The following is a 26,320-nucleotide window of genomic DNA, read 5'->3' as shown; positions in this document are numbered from 1 at the left end:
TTTTTGACCTGATGTATTTAATGTAAAATGTTTGGTTAGCATGCAAAAAGAAAACACAATTATTTTACATAAATTACTAATTTTATTATTCAGATTAAAAATCATATTTCACTTTCAGTCTGGTCAAATACATCATATTTGTATGTCTTCAGACAATCTCACATTTAGAAATATATGCATTTATTTCTAAAAATAGCACATTTTTATCATATACACACAAAAAAGCCGAAAATAAGTTATTAGGAAGAAAAATATATTATACTTTGTATAGAAAACCATGTCATTATTCTATCTATTTCAAAATGAAGGATGATACTTAAATAAAATTTAAATCAAGTGAAAATAAAATGCGAGATTTTTAAAGTTTAGTCAAATTTTATTTACTTCAACATCTTAAATTTATTCCATCATTTCAGTGAACAATAACAGACTATTGAAAACCCATCGATTTGCATTGTTTAAGTAAAAGGGCTTCAATTCAACTGAAAAAAAATTCTTAAAATTAATTAAGATGTTCATTAATTTCCAATATTAATTTCTACTGAAGCAATAGGAGTCCGACATTTTTGTTATGATAACAATGTTATTGTGTGGCTAATTTCCCTTCCCTATAAGTAGTATAGAAATGACTAACAACAGGCCAATCGCGGTGGCTCACACCTGTAATCCTAGCACTTTGGCAAGCCGAGGCGGGCAGACTGCCTGAGCTCAGGAGTTCGAGACCAGCCTGGGCAACACGGTGAAATCCCGTCTCTACTAAAATACAAATAATTAGCCGGGCGTGGCCGCGTGTGCCTGTAGTCCCAGCTACTCGGGAGGCTGAGGCAGAAGAAGTGCTTGAACCCAGGAGGTGGAGATTGCAGTGAGCCAAGATAGCACCACTGCATTCCAGCCTGGGTGACAGAGAGAGATTCCGTCTCCAAAAAAATAAAAATAAATAAATAAATAAACAAATAAATAAACGACTAGCAACAATAATAGAAAAATTTTATTTGAGGGCATAACATGGGAGAGAGTAACCACAGCTTCTTAATTAAGTCTATGTGAGGCATAAAAAGGGAAGCAAATAGACATGTAGTAATACCAAAATATGTTTACTGATTTTGGACTATAACTACCAATTTTATAATTTATCTGGCTAGTAATCTCATTTGGTGAGTATGTGATCCTAATAAAATCAAAGTCTTTCTGTCAGTTAACCTCTCCCTTACCATTTATCTTCCAGTACATGCATTTGGTTTTAAAAGGACAAGCAAATAAAGCCCTTTTTTTTTTAAGTACAAGAAAGGAAACTCATTACAACTACTGGAAAACTGTACAGTGTTAATCATTAAATTTATTAATTCATATAATAATTATTTATTGTATATCATACTTATTCCAGGTAGCATTTAAAATACAAAGTGTGGCAGGCAAGGTGTGTGCACACATCCCCTTTCTTGCACCTACACAGGGGATATTGCTGCTCATTCAAATTTGCTACAGCATTCACTCCAAAGCCACTGGAGACTTCCAGAAAATTGCATTGAGATCTGAACCTATTCTTTCCTAATTCTGCTTACTTTTTCCACTTTCCTTTCACAAGTGTCAGACCCGTGCCATGGTCTAAAGGCACTGTCATATCCTCTTGCCTTCACCTGCTTTATTCTTCATAGGTATTCCTCCCCAGTAAATCTCTTGTATGTCTAATCCTATTTGGGGGATCTGCTTCCTAGAGGACCAAAAATAACCCCCAAGGACAGTGAAAAATTGTTACACCATGAGAAGTAAAAGACATGCAAATAGGTGAATATAAAGCAATTATTTAAGTACCATAAAAATTATATGGCCAGATTGCTCAAGCAACAAAGAGATGTCATCCTGGGGAGCCAAGGAACAATTACCATTTGAACTTGCTCTTCATAAGTGCCTAAGGATGGATCAAATTAAATGTTGAGCATGGCGGGCTCCTTTTGCTCTGTACCGCCTTCAGATTCCTTGTCTAACTCACATATTAGGTACAACTGGTTAATGCCAGTGAAGGAGATGTCAGACAGTGAATGGGATAGAGCCTAAAGTAGGAAATCCAATGAAAGCATTCCAGATACAAGAAACAGCATCTTCCAAAGTGAGGAACTAAGAAAGGGTGAGTGTTGTGGAGTACAGTGAGATGTTCAGAGTGCAAGAAATGTTGACTTTATTCTGTTGTAATTTTTACCTACTTGGTGGTTCATTTACAACTCTGAGACTTGTCTTCATGATCAGCCTGGCACCTGTGACTGTAATGGCCAGGTATATGGTGAGGATTTGCAAATCTACACTGTCAGTTCAAATCTCTCCCTGAGCTCCAGATACCTCTGTACTGCCCTGCTATTGTATAATATATAAGAATAACCTTAAATTATGCCATAAACAATTGTCTACCCCAAACTCTTTCTCCCCTCATCTCACCAACATATTTAAACATTTCCCTTCATTATCTCAATGAGCTTCTCTACCCAGATGCACAGGCCAGAAGCTGTGCCATCATTCTTCACATTGTCCCTTTTCCTGACATTCTGCTCCCCCTCCTGTATATTAATTTCCCAAGAGTTATTAATTCTCTATTTAAATTCTTTCAAATCCTTCTTTTCTTCTTACCTTCATTGCTACAACCTCAGTACAGAGTCCAGATATCTCACGATTGTTACAGGAATAGCATATTTGGTCTTTCTGCCATTTCTTTCCTCCTTCCATATTTATACAACTAAACACTCTAAAACAGACATTTGATTGTATATACCCTGTTAAAAATTTCTTAGTAGATTTTATATAAAATATAAACAATTTTTCCTTATTGAAGATATTTTTTGCATGTTTGTTAATTTTTACATCTTTATTATTTTTACATCTCTCAACCTCATTTCCAAAATATAAACAGGGACACACACCCACATACATATACAGACACACTTGCTCACACATGCAACTCCAATGGTGCGTGACTCTATTTATTCCCAGATCAGTTTTTCCTTTGTTCTCTCTCTGTAATTTAAATCATAGTTCCCACTGCCTGCACTGTTCTTTACATTCTTTTTTCAGGCAGACTCTTTAACCATCTTTGGGAGAGCCTGGCATTCTTATCTAAAGGTGGAAGCATCCTTCAGAATGTAAAATCATCTCCCAGAACTCAGAATCCTTCAGTTTAACAGAAAATTGCCTTCTAATAGATATTTGTGAATATGTGTGTGATCCTCTGGCTGTGACCAGAAATGCCTACACAAATAACCAGTCCCCTAGAGACCATTCTCATTCCCCTAGAGGCTTCCTGGAGCATCAGGAAGTAGTCATCATAAAATGTCATTCCAATAAGCTGGGTGGTAACTGGTATAAATAAATAAATGTAATGAACAAAATGTTATATCAACAAGTCAACCCTGATTTGTAAAATAATTTCTATCCACAGCGAGAATCCTATGCATAGATGTGTTTTTAAATATGTGCCACCATCCAAAATCTAGACTCTTTTTAGACTTATATTTATGATAAAAAACTAAAGCCTTTAGATATCAATAAATAGTTAAATGGGTGGTCAAAAATATACTGGGCTATTTTGTAGTTGGGACACCGGCTGTAAAAAAATAACAATTTGAGTCACTGTTGAGGCAGCAAATATAATGTAACAGCAGAGACAAGATGACAGTTTGATGTGAAAATATCCATCAACCCACATGGTTTGTGTGACACTGATTCTATAGAATGGCTCTAACCTATCCATCCAGTGGATGTTTTATGAACTCAGACAACCAATGCTTTCAACTTTATGGATAGAATGGTACAAAACAAAAAAAAGTCATTTAAATTCATTCAATGATACATCAATTTTCTCAACTTCCATGATTTATTAATGTAACGAGAAAGTACAATTGAATTTCAAATAATGTTGATGCTATTCTGAGGTGAAAAATAAGCTTCAGCGGATGTTCAAATCAACAGAGGAGCTAGAATATGAGAAACATGCAACTGTCATCTACTTTTCCTGAGGCATATCTGCTGTGAAAGGTTAGACAGCCCTCTATAGTTCAAATGGCTAAAATGTATTTCCATTTGATTTCTCACTCATTTATTCAAAAACAATGTTAGGACTGTATTATTTGCAAGACATTGTGCTCCATATTAAAAATGTAAAATGAAAAAGACAGAATTCTAATCTCAAGAACCAATTGCTTGTTGTTGAGTACCAACAACCGAAGTGCAATGCATGACTGAAAGACAACTAGCACAGACCCTAAAAACATGACTTCTGAAGACAGAATGTTTGTTTAATCCTGACACATTTACCTAATAACTATGTTGCTTTATACAATTACTCAAACTCTATATGCTTTTCACAATTATAAAATGAAGAATAATAATAGTATCAATCTCAGAGGGTGTTATGAGGATTAAATAAGTTCATACTAATAAATTGCTGAAAACAGGGCTTAGCATACAAGAATAAGGTGGTTAGCAATTATTAGCTATAATTAACATTTGTGTAAAAAGAGTAACAACAGCAATTCAGAGAGGGAACACAAATGCAAGGTTGCCTGATGCTCTTTAGTGAAAAATAATTTGAAAATGATTTCCAGGGAAATTGCTTCTCCTAGAGCTTTAAAAAATGAGTAGTAATTTCCCAGAATGATAGGTGGGCAGGCATTTCAGCAGAGAGGGCAACATGTGAAAAGGTAAATAGATGAAAGTTTGGAACATTATGATAATTATAGCAGACATTTATAGGAAAATCCATCCAACCCATTTATTCAGATAACCTTCTCGCTGTAAAAAAGATACTGAGGAGTACTCACAGTATGTTAAATGCTCACAAGTAGCTAAATCACACTTTTCCCCCATCAGGTCCATTTGTATATATACTTTCTTTTTCATTTTAAGTTGTATCATCAAAAGCAGTTGGTTTTCTTTCTAATCCTATTTATGCCACTTACAATTACTATGATAAGTATGTAGTTAATTTGAATATTACATACATCAACTAAATTAGTTCCCAATAGTTTTTATGATAAATTACTTGTAACTACTTGACAAAGGTGAGCCATTTAAAATTTTATAGTCAAATTATGTGTGAAAAGATAATAGTCTTACCTTCAAAAGTTAATCATCGATATCTGGAATAAATCTGGAAAAACTGTCTTCAGAATGTTTGTTTTTCTTTATAGAAACCACAACTGGAAAATCTAGCTTATGATGAAAATTTAGAAGTAATGGAGCATTAAACTGCATCAGCAATACCATACACAAAGAAAAATGACCCTACAACAAAAGTTTGACAAATGAATATCTATGTATATGGTTCATGTTAAATGCAATGTTTATAATACCTAAGTATAATTTTCAATTTACTGCTTTAACAAGTATTTTTAATTAAATACTACTACAGATTGGTTAAGATACGATAGTTTCAGTTGTAACCTGGTTTGGTCAAAATGAAATGTGCCTATTGAAAATTGGTGGGAAATTAACCTGGACAGTTAAGCTAGGTCAGATTATAAAATATCAGTAACAACCAGAACTTTATAAATACCAAGATTCATTTGTTGATCATAAGACATTTTTGTGGAATTGGAAATACTTTCATTTATATGGCAAAATAGCCCTTTAATTTATATAACTTTGAAGGACAAATGTACTTATTCACAGTTTCTAAAGGTTGAAATAAAGTTTAGAGAATGTCTGAAGTAAAATAGGTTTTGTTTATGGTATCTTTTCATAAGTACTTGCCCACTTCTCGTAATCCTACACATTTTAAAAATTCTGCTTCATCATCATTCACTGTGTGACATCTTCCATGATGTCTCCTGAGTTAGTTGGTTATATTTCAATTTCCCTGTAATATTATTAAAATGTCTCTGTTAAGTCACATTGTCAGATAATTCTCAGCTTTGTTTAAACATGCAACATATTCCTAGATCATGAGCTATTCAAAGACACTTCAGTATCTTGCACAATATTTCAAGAGGATATCCCAAGTAAATGTTTGGCTAGGCTGGCCAAAAAGCTAGATAAAACACTTCGAAAACACAAGTTTTATTACGTTACTCTTCTGCTCAAACATGTCATAACTTTGTCATTGTCTAAAGAGGATAAAAACTAATTCTATTTTCTTGAATTCTAATTTAATATAAAATCTCCTCACTTGATTTATTAGGCATGTTTCTTGCTGTAACCCCAACTGAAAGCTTTCATTTGAACAGGTTCATATCCTTACTAAATTCTTAATGTCTCTTAGGATCCCTGAGCCTCAGTTGATACCTTTTGTTCTTGACCCATGTATACGTATAATTTATATGCTACTCTCTTCTCCACTTCCTGCATTTTCCCCGACTTCTAGGCTACACAGGTATTTTTCATGTATACTCTTCTCTGTGTCAGAAGCTCAGCTAAACTCGAAAGAGAACCTAGCTTCTGGACGTCAGAGTAGCTGCTTAAGACAAACAGTCAAAATGGAAGTAGCATTTAAGCCTTTCAGTACTTACTGTTGATGGGATAAAGTGGAGAAAGTGTTAATTGCCCCATGTTCCAATTTTCCCCATGGAATAGCACCAGTTCAAGATCAGGTGGATCAGCATAGACAGAAAAGACATAAGGGTAATTCCACTGCAGAGGGAGCCTAAAACAAAAGGATCCCATAGTTTTATCGACCTAGATGGTGTGGAGGACACGGAGAAGGGCAGAGGGAAAGCAAGAAAGGGCTAACAGTGGAAAAAAGCTGAGTTAGAGTAGAGTAAAAGTGTCAAGTTTCCCTGCCTTTTCTTTTACCCATAAGCTCTCAATAGAGGCGACTGAGGAAGGTCCCTGCTAAAGTCCTCAATAAAGACACCTCCAAATGAAGGCACTTGGGCTAAAAATGCAGCTATGCATAAGGACATGGCCAGGCAGGGAGAGCTGAGTCCTTGACTACAACTCCTTCGGAGACTGAAATGTGCTGGCTGTGTACCAGCACATTTCCCCGCAAGCGGAAGATTTCCCTGCTAAGATCTGCGAAGTAAAGCTTTTATAACTACCTATGTTTGGGCCGGAAATATCGCACATGGCATTTCGACCTGAAGTTGGACTCCTCACCCTGTAGCACTTAATCTAACATTGCCTAGTTTTACTATTTGCTTCTTGATGGCAGGAGATCTATTTTTATGTTTTCCACTTATCACACCAATATTTTTGATTGACTATAGAAAGCTCACAGATACTATTCCTTATAATTCAGTTGTGGAGTTGGAAGGAAAACTTCCTTCCTGGAACATACATGTACATGGGATGGTGGTGAGTGCTATATTTACACAATTTGTAAATACTTTGCATACAGTAAGTGCCTGATAACTTAGTAGTCATGACAGTTTCCTAGAAAATACATGTTTTAAATATTAGCGAATAAGGTAATTTAGTAGATTAAGGAAGATAATAGAAGAGGAATAAAAATCACAGAAATCTATTTTACTTAAGTAACAAGAGCACTGGTGCCTATTGAAATTTTCATGTTCAATATCTTCAGACAAAAAATGAGCAGAATTAGTTTTCACTGAATAACTGTTAAGTGTAAAAACATGCCTAATATCAAACACCATTAAATCAAAATTTCTGAAAAAGGTAATATTTTTCCGATGCACATAGGAAAACAGTGCAAGAAAACAAGAGTATCTTACTTTGGCAAACTGAAATATGTTCAGTACTCTCAAGTAAACTGTCATAGATGAAATGTCTGCCCCAAAACAATGGAAGTTACCGTAATGGAATCTATACTGGCTTACAGTGACCAAATGTTAATTTCCAAAATGCTCCCCAGGTATTTTGCTGTAACCAGTAAAAATAACGACACTCTCTTATACTTGGTCTCAACATTGTTTTACTATATTTACATAAGTATTTTATCAACCTGTATGTCTAATGTCTGCTTATCTCCCATCGGGTCCATTGTAAAGAGGCATTAAGGCAACAGAAAAAGGTACTTTGTTTGCATGTATGAGACACCACATTAATCAGATGAAAAATTAAAAAGTGACTATGACTAAATATATTATTTTGTTATTTGGGGATTACCAGGGAGATACCACAAAAAAAACCGGAAATATTCCTTAAATCACGGAACTGTATTTTTTTTTTTTACTAAGTTGACCAAGCTGACACATTTGGGGCATTAATAACAGAATATATTTGATTTATTTAATTTTAATGAATATTTTTGTTGTTTATGTGGAGAATTTTTGTTTTGTTTTATTCTTTATTCAATAGTGTCAGAAATATCTAAATGAAGACCTTCGGATGAGTTCTTTTTTGGTCACACTCTTAAATAAGATTTAAGTATCATTGCAGCACCCCAAAATGCCTTAAAAAAAAGCAAAGCTTTTTAGACTTACAGACGTGTTTTAAAAATTGGTTTACTTGTTCTTGATTTAATTTTGTTTTTAATGAAATCCAAACAAAACTTCAGAAATCATTTTTCATATGAAATATGCTTCACAGTCATTTATTGCAAGCAAAATCTTATCTGTGTAAACTTGATTGGGAGAATTTTGTGAGCATTCATTCTTTTGTTATAATCTCAACAGCATCTGTCACAATAATTTGAATGTGGCAGCTATTTAATAACTTCTGGTTTGTTTATTTAATAGAATGTATATTTCTTGTCTGCCTAAAAACATCCCCTTATGATACCCTGCTTTTCTGAAGCAACAATATCAAAAATTTAGATTTATAATTGGTATCAGCTAGAATTATAAGAATGCAAGATCTAGCTTTATCTACTGGAAATTAAAGTATTATTCATTCCCACAGAAATTTAATTTATAATTAAGCATTTATTTCTTCAAATAGCCTGAGCATTTCAGAGAAAAACTTAAAAATCCCTTTAATTCTTAAAAAAACAAAACTGCAAAAATAGTCTTGTCAACTTATCAAGATTCTTTTAGAAGATCCTTTTAAGAGCTGAACTACTGCAAGCTGATTTTATGATGGATATAACAGTCACATCAAATGAAGTAAATCCCTTTTTCCCCTTTGACAGAAATTTCTTTTAAGTTCTTACGTGGTGAACAGAAGCTCAGTAAACACAAAGTAGATCTATCAATTCCATTTTCTGAAAAATTAAACCTAAGGTACTTAGAAACATAATTTTAAAGATTAGGGATATGTAAGATAAGATTCCAAGAGAACCTCTATTTGCTTTGGCAATGAAAGACAATTGAGTCACTGGTAATATTACTCCTTTAAATAGCTGAAAGGGATTTGAATTTCCCACTCTCATCTGTGACAAAAGAGAAAGCTAGACCTGATGTACAGCAAGTATTAATCAATAGAAGCCGTCCAGGCCTGTAAAGGTGCTTTGGCTTGGTAAGTGTTCATGCTGAACTGGTTTTTAAAAAATACATTTGATGAATGGAAGAACATTCCATGCTCATGGATAGGAAGAATCAACATTGTGAAAATGGCCATACTGCCCAAGAATCAATATTGTGAAAATGGCCATACTGCCCATTGAATTTATAGATTCAATGCCATCCACATCAAGCTACCAATGACTTTCTTCATAGAATTGGAAAAAACCACTTGAAAGTTCATATGGAACAAAAAAAGAGCCCGCATTGCTAAGACAATCCTAAGCCAAAAGAACAAAGCTGGAGGCATCACACTATCTGACTTCAAACTATACTACAAGGCTCCAGTAACCAAAAACAGCATGGTACTGGTACCAAAACAGAGATATAGACCAATGGAACAGAATGGAGCCCTCAGAAATAATACCACATGTCTACAACCATCTGATCTTTGACAAACCTGACAAAAACAAGAAATGGGGAAAGGATTTCCTATTTAATAAATGGTGCTGGGAAAACTGGCTAGCCATATGTAGAAAGCTGAAACTAGATCCCTTCCTTAAACCTTATACAAATATTAATTCAAGATGGATTAAAGACTTAAATGTTAGACCTAAAACCATAAAAACCCTAGAAGAAAACCTAGGCAATACCATTCAGGACATAGGCATGGGCAAGGACTTCATGACTAAAATACCAAAAGGAATGGCAACAAAAGCCAAAATTGACAAATGGGATCTAATTAAACTAAAGAGCTTCTGCACAGCAAAAGAAACTACCATCAGAGTGAATAGGCAACCTACAGAATGGGAGAAAATTTTTACAATCTACCCATCTGACAAAGGGCTAATACCCAGAATCTACAAATAACTTAAACAAATTTACAAGAAAAAAATCAAACAACCCCATCAAAAAGTGGGCAATGGATATGAACAGACACTTCTCAAAAGAAGACATTTATGCAGCCAACAGACACATGAAAAAATGGTCATCATCACTGGCCATCAGAGAAATGCAAATCAAAACCACAGTGAGATACCATCTCACACCAGTTAGAATGGCGATCATTAAAAAGTCAGGAAACAACAAGTGCTGGAGAGGATGTGGAGAAATAGGAACGCTTTTACACTGTTGGTAGAACTGTAAACTAGTTCAACCATTGTGGAAGACAGTGTGGCGTTTCCTCGAGGATCTAGAACTAGAAATACCATTTGACTCAGCCATCCCATTACTGGGTATATACCCAAAGGATTATAAATCATGCTGCTATAAGGGCACATGCACATGTATGTTTACTGCAGCACTATTCACAATAGTAATGACTTGGAACCAACCCAAATGTCCATCAATAATAGAATGGGTTAAGAAAATGTGGCACATATATACCATGGAATACTATGCAGCCATAAAAAAGGATGAGTTCATGTCCTTTGTAGGGACATGGATGAAGCTAGATACCACCGTTCTGAGCAAACTATCACCAAGGACAGAAAACGAAACACCGCATGTTCTCACTCATAGGTGGGAATTGAACAATGAGAACACTTGGACACAGGGTGAGGAATATCACACTTCTGTGGAGTGGGGGAAAGGGGAAGGGATAGCATTTGGAGATATACCTAATGTAAATGACGAGTTAATGGGTGCAGTACACCACCGTGGCACATGTATACATGTGTAACAAACCTGCACGTTGTGTACATGTACCCTAGAACTTAAGGTATAATAACAAAAAATAAATTAAAATATATATATACATTTGATGTTACCCTACCCTAGTGAAAACTCCAATTAAAGCATATTTACTAGATTTTTTTGCACTTGTTTAGGGAATATTCTTTTGTTATTATAATGAGTTATTGTATAAGAGTTTTACTCTCTTTAATATTTAAACTTCTGGTGTCAAGATTTCCATATTGTTTTGTTAACTTACTTCTTTGGAAAAGCAATTTCCCAAAACCACAGTTAGTCATCAAAAATATCGAGAATTCTTTTCTAAATTGCAATGAGACAATGAGGGTAAAGTCATACTCAAATTAGTTATAATTATGTCTTTTCTACCTACCCAAGTACCATATGGCAACTTAAGTATTCTCAGAGCCATGTTTGAAAGTGTAGAGAATTTGTGTGGATCAATCTTTAGGTCATGTTGCATTCTTTGCTAATCTATATAAAGCCCTGGTGTTATCTTCAGTTCATCACTTGAGCTTTTTCTCTAAGATACTTAGAAAAGCCAACACGATACTGAAGAAGAAGAGTTGGAAGGTCCATACTGTCCAAATCTGAAGACTTACTATAAAGCTACAACAATCATGGCGGCATAATATTTATGAAAGAATCTACACATAAATCAAAAGAACAGAATATACAGCCCCAAATAGATTTACACAAAAATAGTCAACTTGTCTTTGGCAATGGCTGAAAGGCAACTCAAGAGAGAAAGGATAATCTTTTCATCAAGTGATGCTAAAACGATTGAACATCAATACCCCCCATCCCTCAAAAAATAACTTAAATATATATTATATATTTTTTCACAAAATTAATTCAAATGACTTACAGGCCTTAATATAAAGCACAAAATTAAAATTTTTAGAAGGAAACAACAGAATATTTAGGTGGCCTGGATTTTAGTGATAAGTTTTTAGATACAACTCCAAAAGCACAATTCATTAACAAATTTGAAATATTAGGCATTATAAAATAAAAATTTTCTGCTGTGAGAAATACACTGTTACAAAATGAAATAACAACTGATAGTATAAGAGAAAGTACTTGCAAAACAAATTTCTTATAAAATACTTATATTCAAAATATAGAAAGAATGTTTAAAGGTCAACAGTTTCAAATATCAACAATAAGAAAACAATTCAATTTAAAAATCTGAACAGATATTTTACCAAATAAGATATGCAAATGCAAATAAACATAAGAAAATGATTAATTATTCATTATTAAGCAATTCCAAATAAAACAATGAGATGCCATTACACATCTATTAGAATGGTTAAAGTATAAAAATAGAAATAGAAAGTAAGGATATCAGTGGATGGTGATTGCACAGTGCAGGAAGAAGTACCCTTCATTGACAGTGGAAATTCAAAGTGGTAAACCACTTTTGAAAACAGTTTGGAAGTTATTACAAAGGTAAACATAGTCTTACCATACAATCCAACTAAGTATTTATGCAATTGAATTGAAAACCTATGTCCACACAAAAACCTGTCCACAAATGTTTATAGTATCATTACTTTTAATCACCATAAACTACAAGTAACCAAGATGTCCTTCCACAGATGAATGGATAAACAAACTGTGGTACCTACAATGAAAATAATATTATTCAAGGATAAACAGAGATCAGTTATCAAGGCATGAAAATATATGGTTGAATGTTTAATGCCTACAGCTAAGTGAAAAAAGGCCAGCCTAAAAAAAAGATGCATAATGTATTATTCCAATTATATTATATTTTTGTAAAGGTAAAACTATAGATATAATTTAAAAAATCAGTGGTTATCAAGGGTTTGGTTGTAGGAGAGTAAATATTGAATAGGTAGAGAATGGGAATTTTTAGGATTGAAAATTGTGCTCTATGACACTGTAATGTTGGATGTATGACATTCAGTGTTTGTCAAAAGCCATTAACATTATACAAATCGTAAACTGTATTGTATGAAAATTTTAATAAAAATAATTTGAGAGTCTGGGGAATCCATCAATGCAATGCAGAATGTAACAATGCAATCTAACTATATTAAAAATGCATAAAACAACCTCACTAATAGTGATGAGTTGGGAGAGAGGTGCTGACCTAAGAAACTTTAGAAATTTGAATTTCTAAAACATCCATAAAACTAAAAGAAACTATACCTAAGTACGATGCTCTAGTTAAGGTGATTGTCTTGTGGGTATGAATTAACAATTCTGAAACTGACATACATGAATAGTAAAATTAAACAATTCAGCAAGTGGATGACAGACGTTACAAGCCAGGTTCTTATTGTCAGACTGGGAGTTTACAGATAAGTAAGGAGAGGAGGCTACAATGAACCATATGTTAACAGATTAGAGTTAGAGACATCTGTATGAACTCATGTTTAGCTTAATACAGATGCAGACATTTATATATAGGAATAGTTATTGATATGTGTACACAAAGTTTAATATATGTGCTTGTATTTCTTAACTATGTCAGCTTGAGAGGGTCTAGAAAGAATGGTACACCAGTAACAAACCTAATTCACAGAGCTTGGTTTCTGTTACCATTCGCAATACTTCAAATACATGTCAAAAATACATATTATTTGACTTAAGATTTCAGATATTCCAGTTATCTAATTAGTATTTAATTGCTTTTAAGAAATGTATTTTTAAAAATTAGCAATAATGGCATGGCAGCTAATTTTTTAAAAAACTAAAATCGTTATAAACATATGATCTAAAATATTATAGATCAAATGATATGAGAATAATTGTTGAAAAGTTGATGTTAAGTAATGTGGACCCATTCTACTATTGTTTGCATTTTACAAATGTGTGCAATATTTCAAAACTATAATTAAAAAAATTAATGAACAAAGTGCAAGTCCTTGGGAACCTTTTTAACATTTTATAAATAAATTATTTACTACTAACTACCACAGTATAACTGATCCTGACTATAATAGAAAATGACCTGTGTGAATTAATTAGTAAAAATAGTTTAATGTATTTATAAACATATTTTATACACACAGACACAAAAGCATATACACAAAAGGGGTTTAAAGAAGAAAGTGTATGCTATTTTTCTTGATTTTCTTTGACAAATCAACAAAGACCCTAGAAAAATCACATAAAAACCTTATAATTCACTGATACTTCTCTAAATATTTGCTTGTGTTCTTTTTATTATTCTCCTCCCTCTGTATCAACTTATCAAGCTGTTACCTAGAATAAAATATGAATGCTCTTTTCTTAACATTTTTTCCCTTCTACCAGTCTATTTCATGCCTTTTCAGATTTCATTCCCAAATCTGTATCAGCAGAACAAGTGTTGTTCCTGATCTCTAGATGCCCCTAAACAGCATCACTACGTAAGACGCCCCTGGAAGCTACCAAACCAAAATCTCAGAGATCTTGTAATACAGTTAATAGTTTAGTTTTGTTTAACTCAACCTTTTCCAATTTCAGTGACATAATATTTTCCAATGATGTAATGCATATTCAAGTCTAAATCTGCAGATAAGACTTTATGGTACATACTCTAGGAAATGCTTGAATTAAAGTCTTCTTTGGAAAGACCTCCAAAGAGAAGATGATTTACCTGTACCATTTCTGTTGCCCTTTAATTGGCAGTGAAAGACACAAATAAAATATTTGATGTTTCAACTGGAAAATGGCCGGGGCCCAGTTGGAAAGCAATGAGGTTCTTCTTTTGTTTAACTGAAGACAAACAGATTCTACTTCTACGAATTCTTCTGATAAAATACTTTCCTGTTTCATGAAACAAAATAAGATAATAAGATAAAAATGTAACTGTACTTTTAAATGTCAAGAAATGAAAAAAGCTACAAGTGAAATGTGGAAAAATAAATGATCTACCTGTTTTAACTCACTGTAAATATTTTTAAATTTCTCTAAGGTACTGAATTAAATTAGGTCTTTTTTAGATCTGCTTTTGTTTTATTTTATTTGTTGCTTTTTCATGGGAACTTAAACTTATCAAATATGAATGTATATGTCTTCCTCCTACAGATGACAGCTGCTTTTTCTCTTTGAATTTTAAGTGAAGAAGTAAAAAGTGAAAGCAATAATTGTTTTTAAAAAAGATGACTCATGTCATGGATATAGTGTAATGTTATTTTGTTTTGATTTCTAGTAACATTTTACTTTTTAGATATGGATATTTGCACATTAGATAAGGAATGTTAGAAGAGAATTAGTTTTTTTTCCTAAAACAAGTTGCTTCTTCCCATTACTGCCATACCAACACTACATTGTCCCAAGGAAAATTCATTCCTAAGGTTTTCCTCAATTGTTTTTTCTGCATTTAACTAAAATTTTTCAAATTCTTAACAGAGAATTGAATGAAAGCAAATTATCAAAATTACTCAGATCAACATGGCTAATTATATGTATACACATACACACATATACATGGGCACATGTACATATATATAGGATTACCTTGAAACTATAATTTTACTGTGAGGTTTAATTCTGGGAGAGTTTTTACTCTATGTATATAACACATATGTATGTATATATGTGTATATACATATATATGTATATAGCACGTATGTATGTATATATGTGTATATACATATATATGTATATTTATACATACATTGTATTAGTCCATTTTCACATTGCTATAAAGAACTACCTAAGACTGAGTAATTTATGAAGAAAAGAGGTTTAATTTACTCACAGTTCTGCAGGCTGTACAGGAAACATGGCTGGGGAGGCCTCAGAAAACTTACATTCATGGTAGAAAGTGCAGGGGAAGCAAGCACCTTCTTCACATGGTGGAGCAGGTGGAAGAGGGAATGAAGGCAGAAGTGCTACATACTTTTATACAAATAGATCTTGTGAGAACTCACTCACTATCAAAAGAACAGCAAGGGGGAAATCTGCCCCCATGATCCAATCACCTCCAATCAGGTCCCTCCTCCAACACTGAGGATGATAATTCAACATGAGATTAGGGTGGGGACACAGAGCCAAACCATATCATACATATATGTATGTATCACAAATGAGATACATGTTAAAACACAGAAATAGTTCTATGCAAATAGTTTCATATAGAAGCTAGACCAAATGACAAGCAGTTGCATACATAAGCAAAACCCAATTTCAAATCTTATATTAAAAAATGCCGTAATGTTCCTGTTAAAGGGGGAGATACCCATATCTGTGATGAGGTAAAACTCTCCCAGAATTAAACCTCACAGTAAAAATATTGTTTCAAGGTGATCCTAGGAAATTTTTCACGACTCTTTTCCCCTATAGATTTCCCATAGAAACTTGAAGGTAAGGTGATGAAAAGGAACGAAATAGAGTAAAACTAGAAAGACGACATTTATAATATACAGTATATGCTTTAGGCAGATATGGTAGCAGCATCAAAATATTCTTTGATGACACTTTGTCTTAGTCCAATTTTTTAGTGTGCATTCATTATTCTTTTTCTTACCTTTTATTTTAAGCTCAGCGGTGCATGTCCAGGATGTGCTGGTTAGTTACAACTAAATGTGTGTCATGGGGGTTTGTCGTACAGATTATTGCATCGCCCAGGCATTAAGCCTAGTATCCATCAGTTAATTTTCATGATCCCCTTCCTCCTCTTACTCTTCACCCTCTGATAGGCCCCAGTGTGTGTTGTTCCTCTCTGTGTGTTCATGTGTTCTCATCATTTAACTCCCACTTACAAGTGAGAACATGTGGTATTTGGTTTTCTATTCATGTGTTAGTTTGCTTAGTCCACTTGATGTTGCTATGAAATAATACCTGAGACTGGGTAAAGAGGTTTATTTAGCTCTTGTTTCTGCAGGCTGAGAGGTTCAAGGACATGGCTCTGGCTTCCGACTAGGACATTAGTGCTGCATTGCAACTTAGCAAAGAAGGTGAAAGGGGAAGCAGACACATGCAAAGAGAAAGAAACCTGTGGGGTGTCCTGGGTTAAACAAGTCCCTCTCAAGAGAACTAATCCAGTCTGAAGAGAAGTAAACTATCTTGTGAGAGCAAGAACTTACCTCTGCAGGAACAGCACCAAGCCCTTCATGATGGATCCACCCCATAGATCAAACACTTCCCACTAGGCCCAGGCAGTACCTCCCCAAACCACATTATTGGGAATCAAAATTCAACGTGAGTTTTGTTGGGGACAAACAAACCATACCAAAACCATAGCACACCTTAAGATTGAGGATACTTATAGCCTCCAGATGGATCTTATTTAGCAAGTAATACCTTATGGTTTCTAATTTGAATAATTTTTAAAATGTAAAACAAGACAGGTGGTTAAATAGAAACAGCAATAAAATTGAATTTTCTGTCACCAAACAGGGCATATTTCCAAAGTAACAGTATTTGTTTAAATTTATGTAAAATAATTATAACTTGTTAATAACAAATGACTGTTTATTTGCATTATTCAGGTTTGGGCCATACTGTATTATACTTAATTAGAAAATAAGTGAAATAAATATCATACCAATCATTTTTTTTATTTCAAAGCTCCTTTGTCCCTACTGGACTTCTCATCATCTAGCATTTAAATCTCACCACTTATCACCTTCATGATCCAACTTCTGTGCCAAAGTGGAACAGCAACAACTCCTGTCTGTATTTATTTCCACACAAACCTTGTCTTCATGAAGATCATAAACCTTATGCTGAACAGAGAAGACTGCTGTTTAAATTCAGTGATGTCAGAGAAAGAGTCTTGACCATCAGAACCCTTAAGTTTACCTTTGTTTATTAAATATTGACAAATTATAGTTGTATACATTTGTATGGTACAAAGTGATGCTATGATATATTTATTATTTTTATGGAATCAGTAAATCAAGCTGAATAACCTATCCATGCTCTCAAATGTTTAATTTTTTTCTGATGAGAATGTTTGATTTCCTCTTTTAGCAGTATTGAAATGTACAGTATTCAATTATTAGCTATAGGGCCGGACGTGGGGGCTCATGTCTGTAATCCCAACACTTTGGGAGGCCGAGGCAGGTGGATCACTTGAGAGCAGGAGTTCAAGACCAGCCTGACCAACATGGTGAAACTCCCTCTCTACTAAAAAAATACAAAATTAGCCAGGCGTGATGGTGAGCACCTGTAATCCCAGCTACTTGGGAGGGTGAGGCAGGAGAATTGCTTGAACCCAGGACGTGAAGGTTGCAGTGAGCCGAGATCATGCCATTGCACTCCAGCCTGGGCAACAAGAGTGAAACTCAGTCTCAAAAAAAAATTATTATTATCAGCCATATTCACCATGGTGTGAGATAGACTGCGAAAAAACCCTCAAACTTATTCCTTCTAATAACTGAGACTTTGTACCCTTTGATTACCATCTCCCCATTCCCCCTAACCCAGCCTCTGGTAACCACCATTTAACTCTTCGCTTCTGTGAGTTCAACTGTTTTATATTCCACATGTAAGTGAGAACATGCATCTATTTTTCACTGTTTGGTTTATTTCACATAGCATAATGCTCTCCAATTCCATTCATATTGTTGTAAATGAGTTTCTTTCTTTTTAAGGCTGAATAGTATTATATTATGTATATATACCACTTTTTAAGTGGTATTTGATTAATTGATGCACTGAGGTTGATTTCATAACTTGGCTACTGTAAATAATGCTGCAATCAACATGGGCATGCAAATATGTCTTCAGCAAATGAATTTCAAGTCTTTTGTGTGTCTACAAGTGAGATTGCTACAAGTTAATATTGCTAATGGTCTATCCATTTTATTTATCTTCTCAAAGAACCAGCTTTTTGTTTCATTTATCTTTTGTATTTATTTTTTGGTTCAATTTTATTTCACTTAGTTCTGCTCTGATCTTGGTTATTTCCTTTCTTCTGCTGGGTGGGTTTGGGTTTGGTTTGTTCTTATTTCTCTATATCCTTAAGATACGACCTTAGAATGTCAGTTTGTGCTATTTCAGACTTTTTGATTAAGTGTTTGGGGCTATGAACTTTCCTCATAGAAAGATGCCTTTGCTGTATCCCAGAGGTTTTAATAGGTTGATAGGTTGTGTCATTACTGTCAATCAGTTTGAAGAATTTTTTAATTTCCATCTTGGTTTTGTTTTTGACCCGATACTCATTCAGGAGCAGGTTATGTAATTTCCATGTATTTGCATGGTTTTGAAGTTTCCTTTTGGAGTTGATTTCCACTTTTATTCCACTGTTGTCTGAGAGAGTGTTTGATATAATTTCAATTTTCTTAAATTTATTGAGGATCATTTTATGCCCTATCATGTGGTCTATCTTGGAGAAAGTTCCAGGCACTGTTGAATACAATGTGTATTCTGTGGTTGTTGGATGAAATGTTCTGTATATATCTGTTAAGTCCATTTGTTGCAAAGTATAGTTTAAATCCATTGTTTCTGTGATGACTTTCTGTTTTGATTACCTGTTAGTGCTGTCAGTGGAGTATTGAAGTCCTCCACTATTATTGTGTTGCTGTTTATCTAATTTTGTAGATCTATTAGTAATTGTTTTATAAATTTGGGAGTTCCAGTGTTATGTGCATATACGTTTAGGATTGTGATATTTTCCTGTTGGACAATGCCTTTTACCGTTATATAATGTCCCTTTTTGTCTTTTTTAACTGCCGTTGCTTTAAAGTCTGTTTTGTCTGATATAATAGCTACCCCTGCTTGCTTTTGACATACATTTGCATGAAATCCATCCCTTTACTTTAAGTTTATGTGAGTCCTTATGTGTTAGGTCAGTCTCCCGAAGGCAATGGATTGTCGATTGGTGAATTCTTAGCCATTCTGCAGTTAAGTGGAGTATTTAGGCCATTTACATTCAATGTTAGTATTGAGATGTGAGGTACCGTTTAATTCATTGTGTTATTTGTTGCCTGCTACTTTGTTTTTGTTTTTTGTTTTTGCTTAACTTGTATTTTCATTTTATAGGTTCTGTGTGATTTACACATTAAAGAGATTCTGTTTTGATGTGTTTCCAGGATTTGTTTCAAGATTTAGAGCTCCTTTTAGTAGTTCCCGTAGTGGTGGCTAGGTAATGGCAAATTCTCTCAGCATTTGTTTGTCTGAATAAGACTATCTTTCCTCAATATATGATGCTTAGTTTGCTGGATACAAAATTCTTGGCTGATAATTGTTTTGGTTGAGGAGGCTGAAGATAGGCATCCAATCCTTTCTAGCTTGTAGGGTTTCTGCTGAGAAATCTGCTGTTAATCTCATAGGTTTTCCTTTATAGGTTACCTGGTGCTTTTGCCTCACAGCTCTTAAGATTCTTTCCTTCATCTTAACTTTGGATAACCTGATCACAATGTGCCTAGGCAATGATCTTTTTGTGATGATTTTCCCGGGTGTTTTTTGTGCTTATTATATTTGGATTTCTAAGTCTTCAACAAGACCAGGGAAGTTTTCCTGGATTATTCCCCCAAATATGTTTTCCAAGCTTTTAGAATTCTCTTCTTCCTCAGGAACACCAATTATTCTTAGGTTTGATCATTTAACATAATCCCAGACTTCTTGGAGTCTTTGTTCATATTTTCTTATTCTTTTTTTCTTTGTCTTTGTTGGATTGGGTTAATTCAAAGATCTTGTCTTTGAGCTCTGAATTTCTTTCTTCTACTTATTCAATTCTATTACTGAGAACTTTCCAAAGCATTTTGCATTTCTATAAGTGTGTCCAATGTTTCCTGAATTTTTTTTTCTTTAAGCTATCATCTATTTCCTTGAATATTTCTCCCTTCACTTCTGTATTATTTTTTTGATTTCCTTGCATTGGGCTTTGCCTTTCTCTGGTGCCTCCCTGATTAGCTTAGTAACTAACCTCCTGAACTGTTTTCAGATAAATCAGAGATCTCTTCTTGGTTTGGATACATTGCTGGTGAGCTAGTGTGATATTGGGGGTGTTAATGAGCCTTGTTTTGTCATATTACCAGAGTTGGTTTTCTGGTTCCTTCTCATTTGGGTAGGCTCTGTCAGAGGGAAGGTCTAGGGCTGAAGGCTGTTGTTTAGATTCTTTTGTCCCACAGGGTCTTCCTTTGATGTACCCCCTTTTCCTATGGTGTGGCTTCCTGTGAGCCAAGCTGCAGTGATTGTTATCTCTCTTCTGTGTCTAGCCACCAAGAAGGTCTACCTGCCTCCAGGCTGGTACTGGGGGTTGTCTGCAGAGTCCTGTGATGTGAGCCTTCTATGGGTCTCTCAGCTGTGGATACCAGCACCTGTTCAAGTGGAAGTGGTGGGGAGAGGGGGGGTTAATAGACTCCATGAGCGTTCTTAGCTTTGGCGGTTTAAAGCTCCATTTTTGTGCTGGTTGGCATCTTGCTGGGAGTTGGCACTTTCCAGAAAGCATCAGCTGTGGTAGTATGGAGAGGAACCAGTGTTGGGTGGGGCCCTAGAACTCTCAAGATTATATGCCCTTTGTCTTCCACTACCAGGGTGGGTAGGGAAGGATCATCAGGAGGGGACAGGGCTCAGTGTGTCTGAGCTCAGACTCTCCTTGGGCAGGTATTGCTGTGACTTCTTCAGTTTCTCCAGTGGGTGTGTGTGTTCGGGAGAGGAGGCTCTCCCTTACCCACTTCCACCGTTGGGGCACTCACAGTATTTGTGGTGTCTCCTGGGTCCTGCAGGAGCAGTCTCCCTCCTTCAGAGGGTCTATGAGTCCTCTTAGGATTGCTGATTTTCATAAATTGACATTTTAGAATACTGCCTCCACAGACAAAGTGTGATCCAGGCGGCTCCGCCCCCTGTCACAGTTGCCACCACCAGATGAAAGTATCTTTACATGCAGCTGAAAAACCATCAGTGATTGATATTTGATATTTTAGGCAGAAAATAAATGAACTGTGATGGTGAAGGTTAGAGTAAAAAATAGAAACTTAGGCAACCAGTTGAGATAAATAAAAAAAGAAACATATTGAGAAAGAAGAATAAAAATTCAATTAATTTTACAACAATAAACACCAAGCTAGGCATTCTGTTGAGGGTATCAACACATCATATATGGGTTACTAGTCCTCCAGATCTTAGATATATTAAGGAAGTTGTTTGATAAACAAATCTTGTTCATGCATGGTAAGCTTGAATGAAGATGTCTGAGCAGGATGATAAGAAAACTGAAAAACACATACACACAGTTATGCCTATTAGTTTAGAGAAAGTTCTGAGAGCAGAGATCCTCTCAGCTATGCCTTGACATAGATGCTTGGAATGCTTAATGAAATTTGCCATCTTTAGATTTTTCTAGTACTTATCAAATACACTCTCTAATATTTTATTTTATTTTATTTCATTATTTTCTTTTAACCTACTTTTCTAGTAAGCTTTATTGGGCCATGGTTCCTTGGAGTAAAGAAGAGTTACTTTGTTCAGGAACACCAGGTATTCTCTGCTTTTTCATTCCTGGACAAGGAATTACCCTTGCAGCATTCCTGTACATGAAAGTATCTAGATTTTTAGAGCAGATTATTTCCAATGGTTAATACAAACTTCTCTGTAAAAGGGCTGTGGCTTAGTGAAATTTTGGCTTCTTTCTTGATTTTATTAGGGATATATGCATCACTATTGACAGCCTAACACTCCAAACCATTTGACAGTTCTTTCCGCCATAGGCACTTGACTTAAGTCCCATATATTTAATTAAACATGTTTTCAGTTATGTTTGTGTGCTATAGTTTGGATGTTTGTCCCTCCAAATTTCACACTGAAATTTAATCTTCAATGTTAGCGGTAGGGCCTAGAGGGAAGTGTTTGGATTACAAGGTGGAGACCTCATGAATGTGTTGGTGCTGTCCTCACAGTAATGAATGAGTTCTCACTCTACTAGCTCCCAAGAGAGCTGGTTGTTCAAAAGAGCCTGGCACTTCCTCTCTCTCTCTTACTTCCTCTCTCACCATGTGATCTCTGCATGCATGGATTCCCCTTCCCATTTCTTCATGAGTGGAAACAGCTTGAGGCACTCACCCAATGTACACACCAGCACCATGCTTCTTGTACAGCCTGCAGAACAACTGTGAGCTGAATAAATCTCTTTTCTTTGTAAATTACTAAGCCTTAAATATGTATTTACAACAACACAAAGGAGTAATACAATGTGTATATGGAGAAGGGAAGTCCCTTCCCCAAATTTTCAAGCTTAATCTACAATCCAAAATTTCATGAATTTTAAACCTTTATCCACTAATCCACATCCATTTATATAGCAAAGGTTGACTGGAGGATTACAATGTTCCTAAAATTATCTTGGGTGATAAGGAATCAGCAAAGCACACTCGATGTATGCTACCCGGGCTGAGTGAACAAATACTATACCAGAGGAAGAAGATAAGCAAATATTAAAGAGTATGATATTTATAACACTGGAAGTGCAGTGTTACTGTAGTACTTAGAATGGCTTCTAAAGTAAGGAATGGATTCATAAATGAAGTGATATCTAGACTAGCATTTGAAATAAAATTAAAAAATTATGAGTTAAACAAAAAATATTGTGGGGGAATAGAAAATTATCTTCTAGATTAAGAAAATAAACTGTGCCAAGGCCAGGAGTGAAAGAACATAAGATATTAGAATAACTACAAGATGTCTGGTGAAAATGGAGATAGAATTCAAGGGTGGATATTAAAAAGAAGAGTGGAAAAGAGTTAAATAGTATAAAATATCCTCAAAGCCTTGGAAGCCACATTCATAAACTGGAATCCATATTTCAGTAATGTGAAATCACTCAAATGTTAAATGTTTAATTATTAAAGGTATGCTATAATTGTTTTTAAATTTTATAACGACAACTCTTACCATAGTGGAGATAACTATTTTCTGGGAAGAACAATTTAGCTAGGGATCCAAGTGACATTTGCTGATGATCTAACTGTGGGAAAGCTATTGCAATGGAAAGAAAAATATTTATTTTTAGTTATCATTTGCTTCATGTCATTTATTGTTATCTGAATTTACATATTTGAGGAGAATATCTATTATGTTCCAGAGATAGTAAACATTCTTAACAGCCTTAAATAACAGAAAATTTGTTCATGTTCTTTTTCTTACCTATAAATACGATTACTACTTCCAACAATAATGTAAATAGTACTTATTTTGCTGTTAAGACATCCTCTATAGGATCCTCATATTTAAATATTTTCTTAAAGAATATTAGAACATAGACAAGAGTAAGTCCTTTTTTGGTAGAGGAGAACATGTCAGCCAAAAACAATATGCAAGCATTGGCTATAAAATGGCCACTACAGTCTGGGAATTATAAATAAATTCCTAGATTATTTATATTATTGGGACACAGATTAGAAAGATAAATTTAGGTCAGTTTGTAGATAAGTCTCCATATCAGTCAGAAAATTTTCACTTAATTTTGTGGAATATTAGCAACCAGTGGGTTTTTTTTTAGAAGAGCCTATGGTGTGCTTAGTGTAGAAGAAATGAAATTATAGCATACGTTATTTTAAATATTAGAAGTAGACTGGTTCTATCTAAAAATATTTTGTGTTATTTCAATCTAAGGATAGTTGAAAAGAAATAGATGAAATACTCATAAGTGGGGAAGAAGTCAATGTATATCAAACATACTTTAAAATGATCAATTCTTCTGTTGATGTAAACAAAGAAAAGACAGAGACTGGGATGGAGACATGAATGTTGTGCTAAAGTTTTTTTTAGCAGGTCAGCAACTATCCTGGACAGTAGTAGATGAGAGTGTTTCGGGTGTGTTTTAAATAAATGGTGTGTAAACTTTGAAAGAAGACAGGCTGTTGAGACATGGTGATTTAACAATGGTTTATGGAACACATTTAGAAGTAATAATTTTGCTGAATTTTCCTTGTTATTCCACAAGAAGGAGAAACTGGAATAATAATCATGATCTTTGGAGCAACTAAAGTCATATATATTGTTATTCACCAGGAAATTTCTATGGGTCTGTGTCAAAGCCTAAGTACACCAGATGGAAAATACTTAAAAAAAAAAAATTCTGAGAGCCATCAATGTTATGTGGGATGTCAGATACAAAAAAACAAATGCAATAGATTAAGACAAGTTCTAAGTATGCCTAAAAATTGTGATAAACTCTAAATAATTCCACTCCTAACTTATTTCACATGAAGATGAAGGAAATATACAAGTTATAATCAGTGGAGCGAAGTCTAGAAATTAAGTGTAAGTTGGATCCTTTGGGAGTTTCATAAATGTGCATACTGTATAGAATATTTTTAATTTGACTGTGATCAGGGAGTCATTTCAATGACTGAAATCAGTAAAACTATTTCAATTATGATAAATTTGATTTAACTTGAATAAAACATGAAATGAAATCATTGTTTACTAATCTTGCTTTTAGCTTACTTGATATGTCTGATACCCCATGAGTCAATCATTCCACTAATATGTTCAGTTTTTCCCATCGTGAAATGGTCTTTATTCCTGCTGCACTAAAGCAGCAACATAAATAACACTATACTTATTTTATAAATCTAGGATTGAACAGAAAACACTGGATTATATGATTGAGAAGAAAACACCACATCCTCAGATTACAGATACTATTTTACACTTTTAAAAGTATTCCATTCTTCAGTATAATTTTTCTGGGTTTTAATTATAAAAACTAATTTTTAACAGTATAAAGTATGAGGCTTAATGAGTGGAAATTCTGTGATTATGTGTCATGTGAGAAAAACTTGATACATAAAATTTTTTTAAAACAAGAAAAAGCTGTGTACCTGCAAAGAAGTAAAGAATCACAACAATTCAGCAGACACATTTGATTTGAGTATTTTTTAAAGATTTTGGTGAATCCGTGATATTTGAGTTTTCATGTAAAATAGGTTAGATGCTTGTTCTCTAAAAACAGTGTTCTTTTAAAAACAACAGCAACAAAACCTATCAAAATATTGTGAGGTCAGCTTGACCAACTTTATCACTCCCTTGGATATTAAGAAAAGCACAAATACGGTATTGCTGTTTTTGTTGTCTCCAGTAAGAGTGAAAATAGCCAAAGGGGAGAGAAAAATTTACAAGAAGCACCAAAGTTCAAACATAAACCAGTTCCAAATTTGTGATGACTTGATAGTGAAACCTGTTACCTGGATCCCGGAAGAGATGCCCATGCAATCACTTACAAATCCAAGTACCTCCATATGCAGCTCATTCAGTAAATGGGAGATAAAAAGGAAGGGGGAGTTGTTTTCTCAGGGTTCATTTGGCACTGTTTCTTAAGTTTTTGTGCATAGTATTACTTGAAAAACTTGTTAAATGTTCTATGCCCCTATTCATTATATTACACTTGGAAT

General features: G+C 34.4%; 1 long non-coding RNA gene across 1 annotated transcript in view; it reads right to left on the bottom strand.

Moving 5' to 3' along the window:
* Positions 1-3,842: 3,842 nt before the first annotated feature.
* The window catches only part of LINC00879 (long intergenic non-protein coding RNA 879), a 53,066-nt gene continuing 30,588 nt past the window's right edge, over positions 3,843-26,320 (bottom strand). Inside the window, exons 3-8 of the long non-coding RNA NR_015400.2 lie at positions 23,817-23,900; positions 14,632-14,801; positions 6,492-6,625; positions 5,737-5,842; positions 5,101-5,268; positions 3,843-3,959 (exon numbers count right to left, since the gene is read on the bottom strand). This is a non-coding gene — a long non-coding RNA (long intergenic non-protein coding RNA 879). The remainder of the gene's footprint in view (positions 3,960-5,100; positions 5,269-5,736; positions 5,843-6,491; positions 6,626-14,631; positions 14,802-23,816; positions 23,901-26,320) is intronic.

This window comes from Homo sapiens, chromosome 3 (genome assembly GCF_000001405.40).
Source record: "Homo sapiens chromosome 3, GRCh38.p14 Primary Assembly".
Taxonomy (NCBI): Eukaryota; Metazoa; Chordata; class Mammalia; order Primates; family Hominidae; genus Homo; species Homo sapiens.
This window is presented reverse-complemented; position numbering and strand designations above follow the sequence as displayed.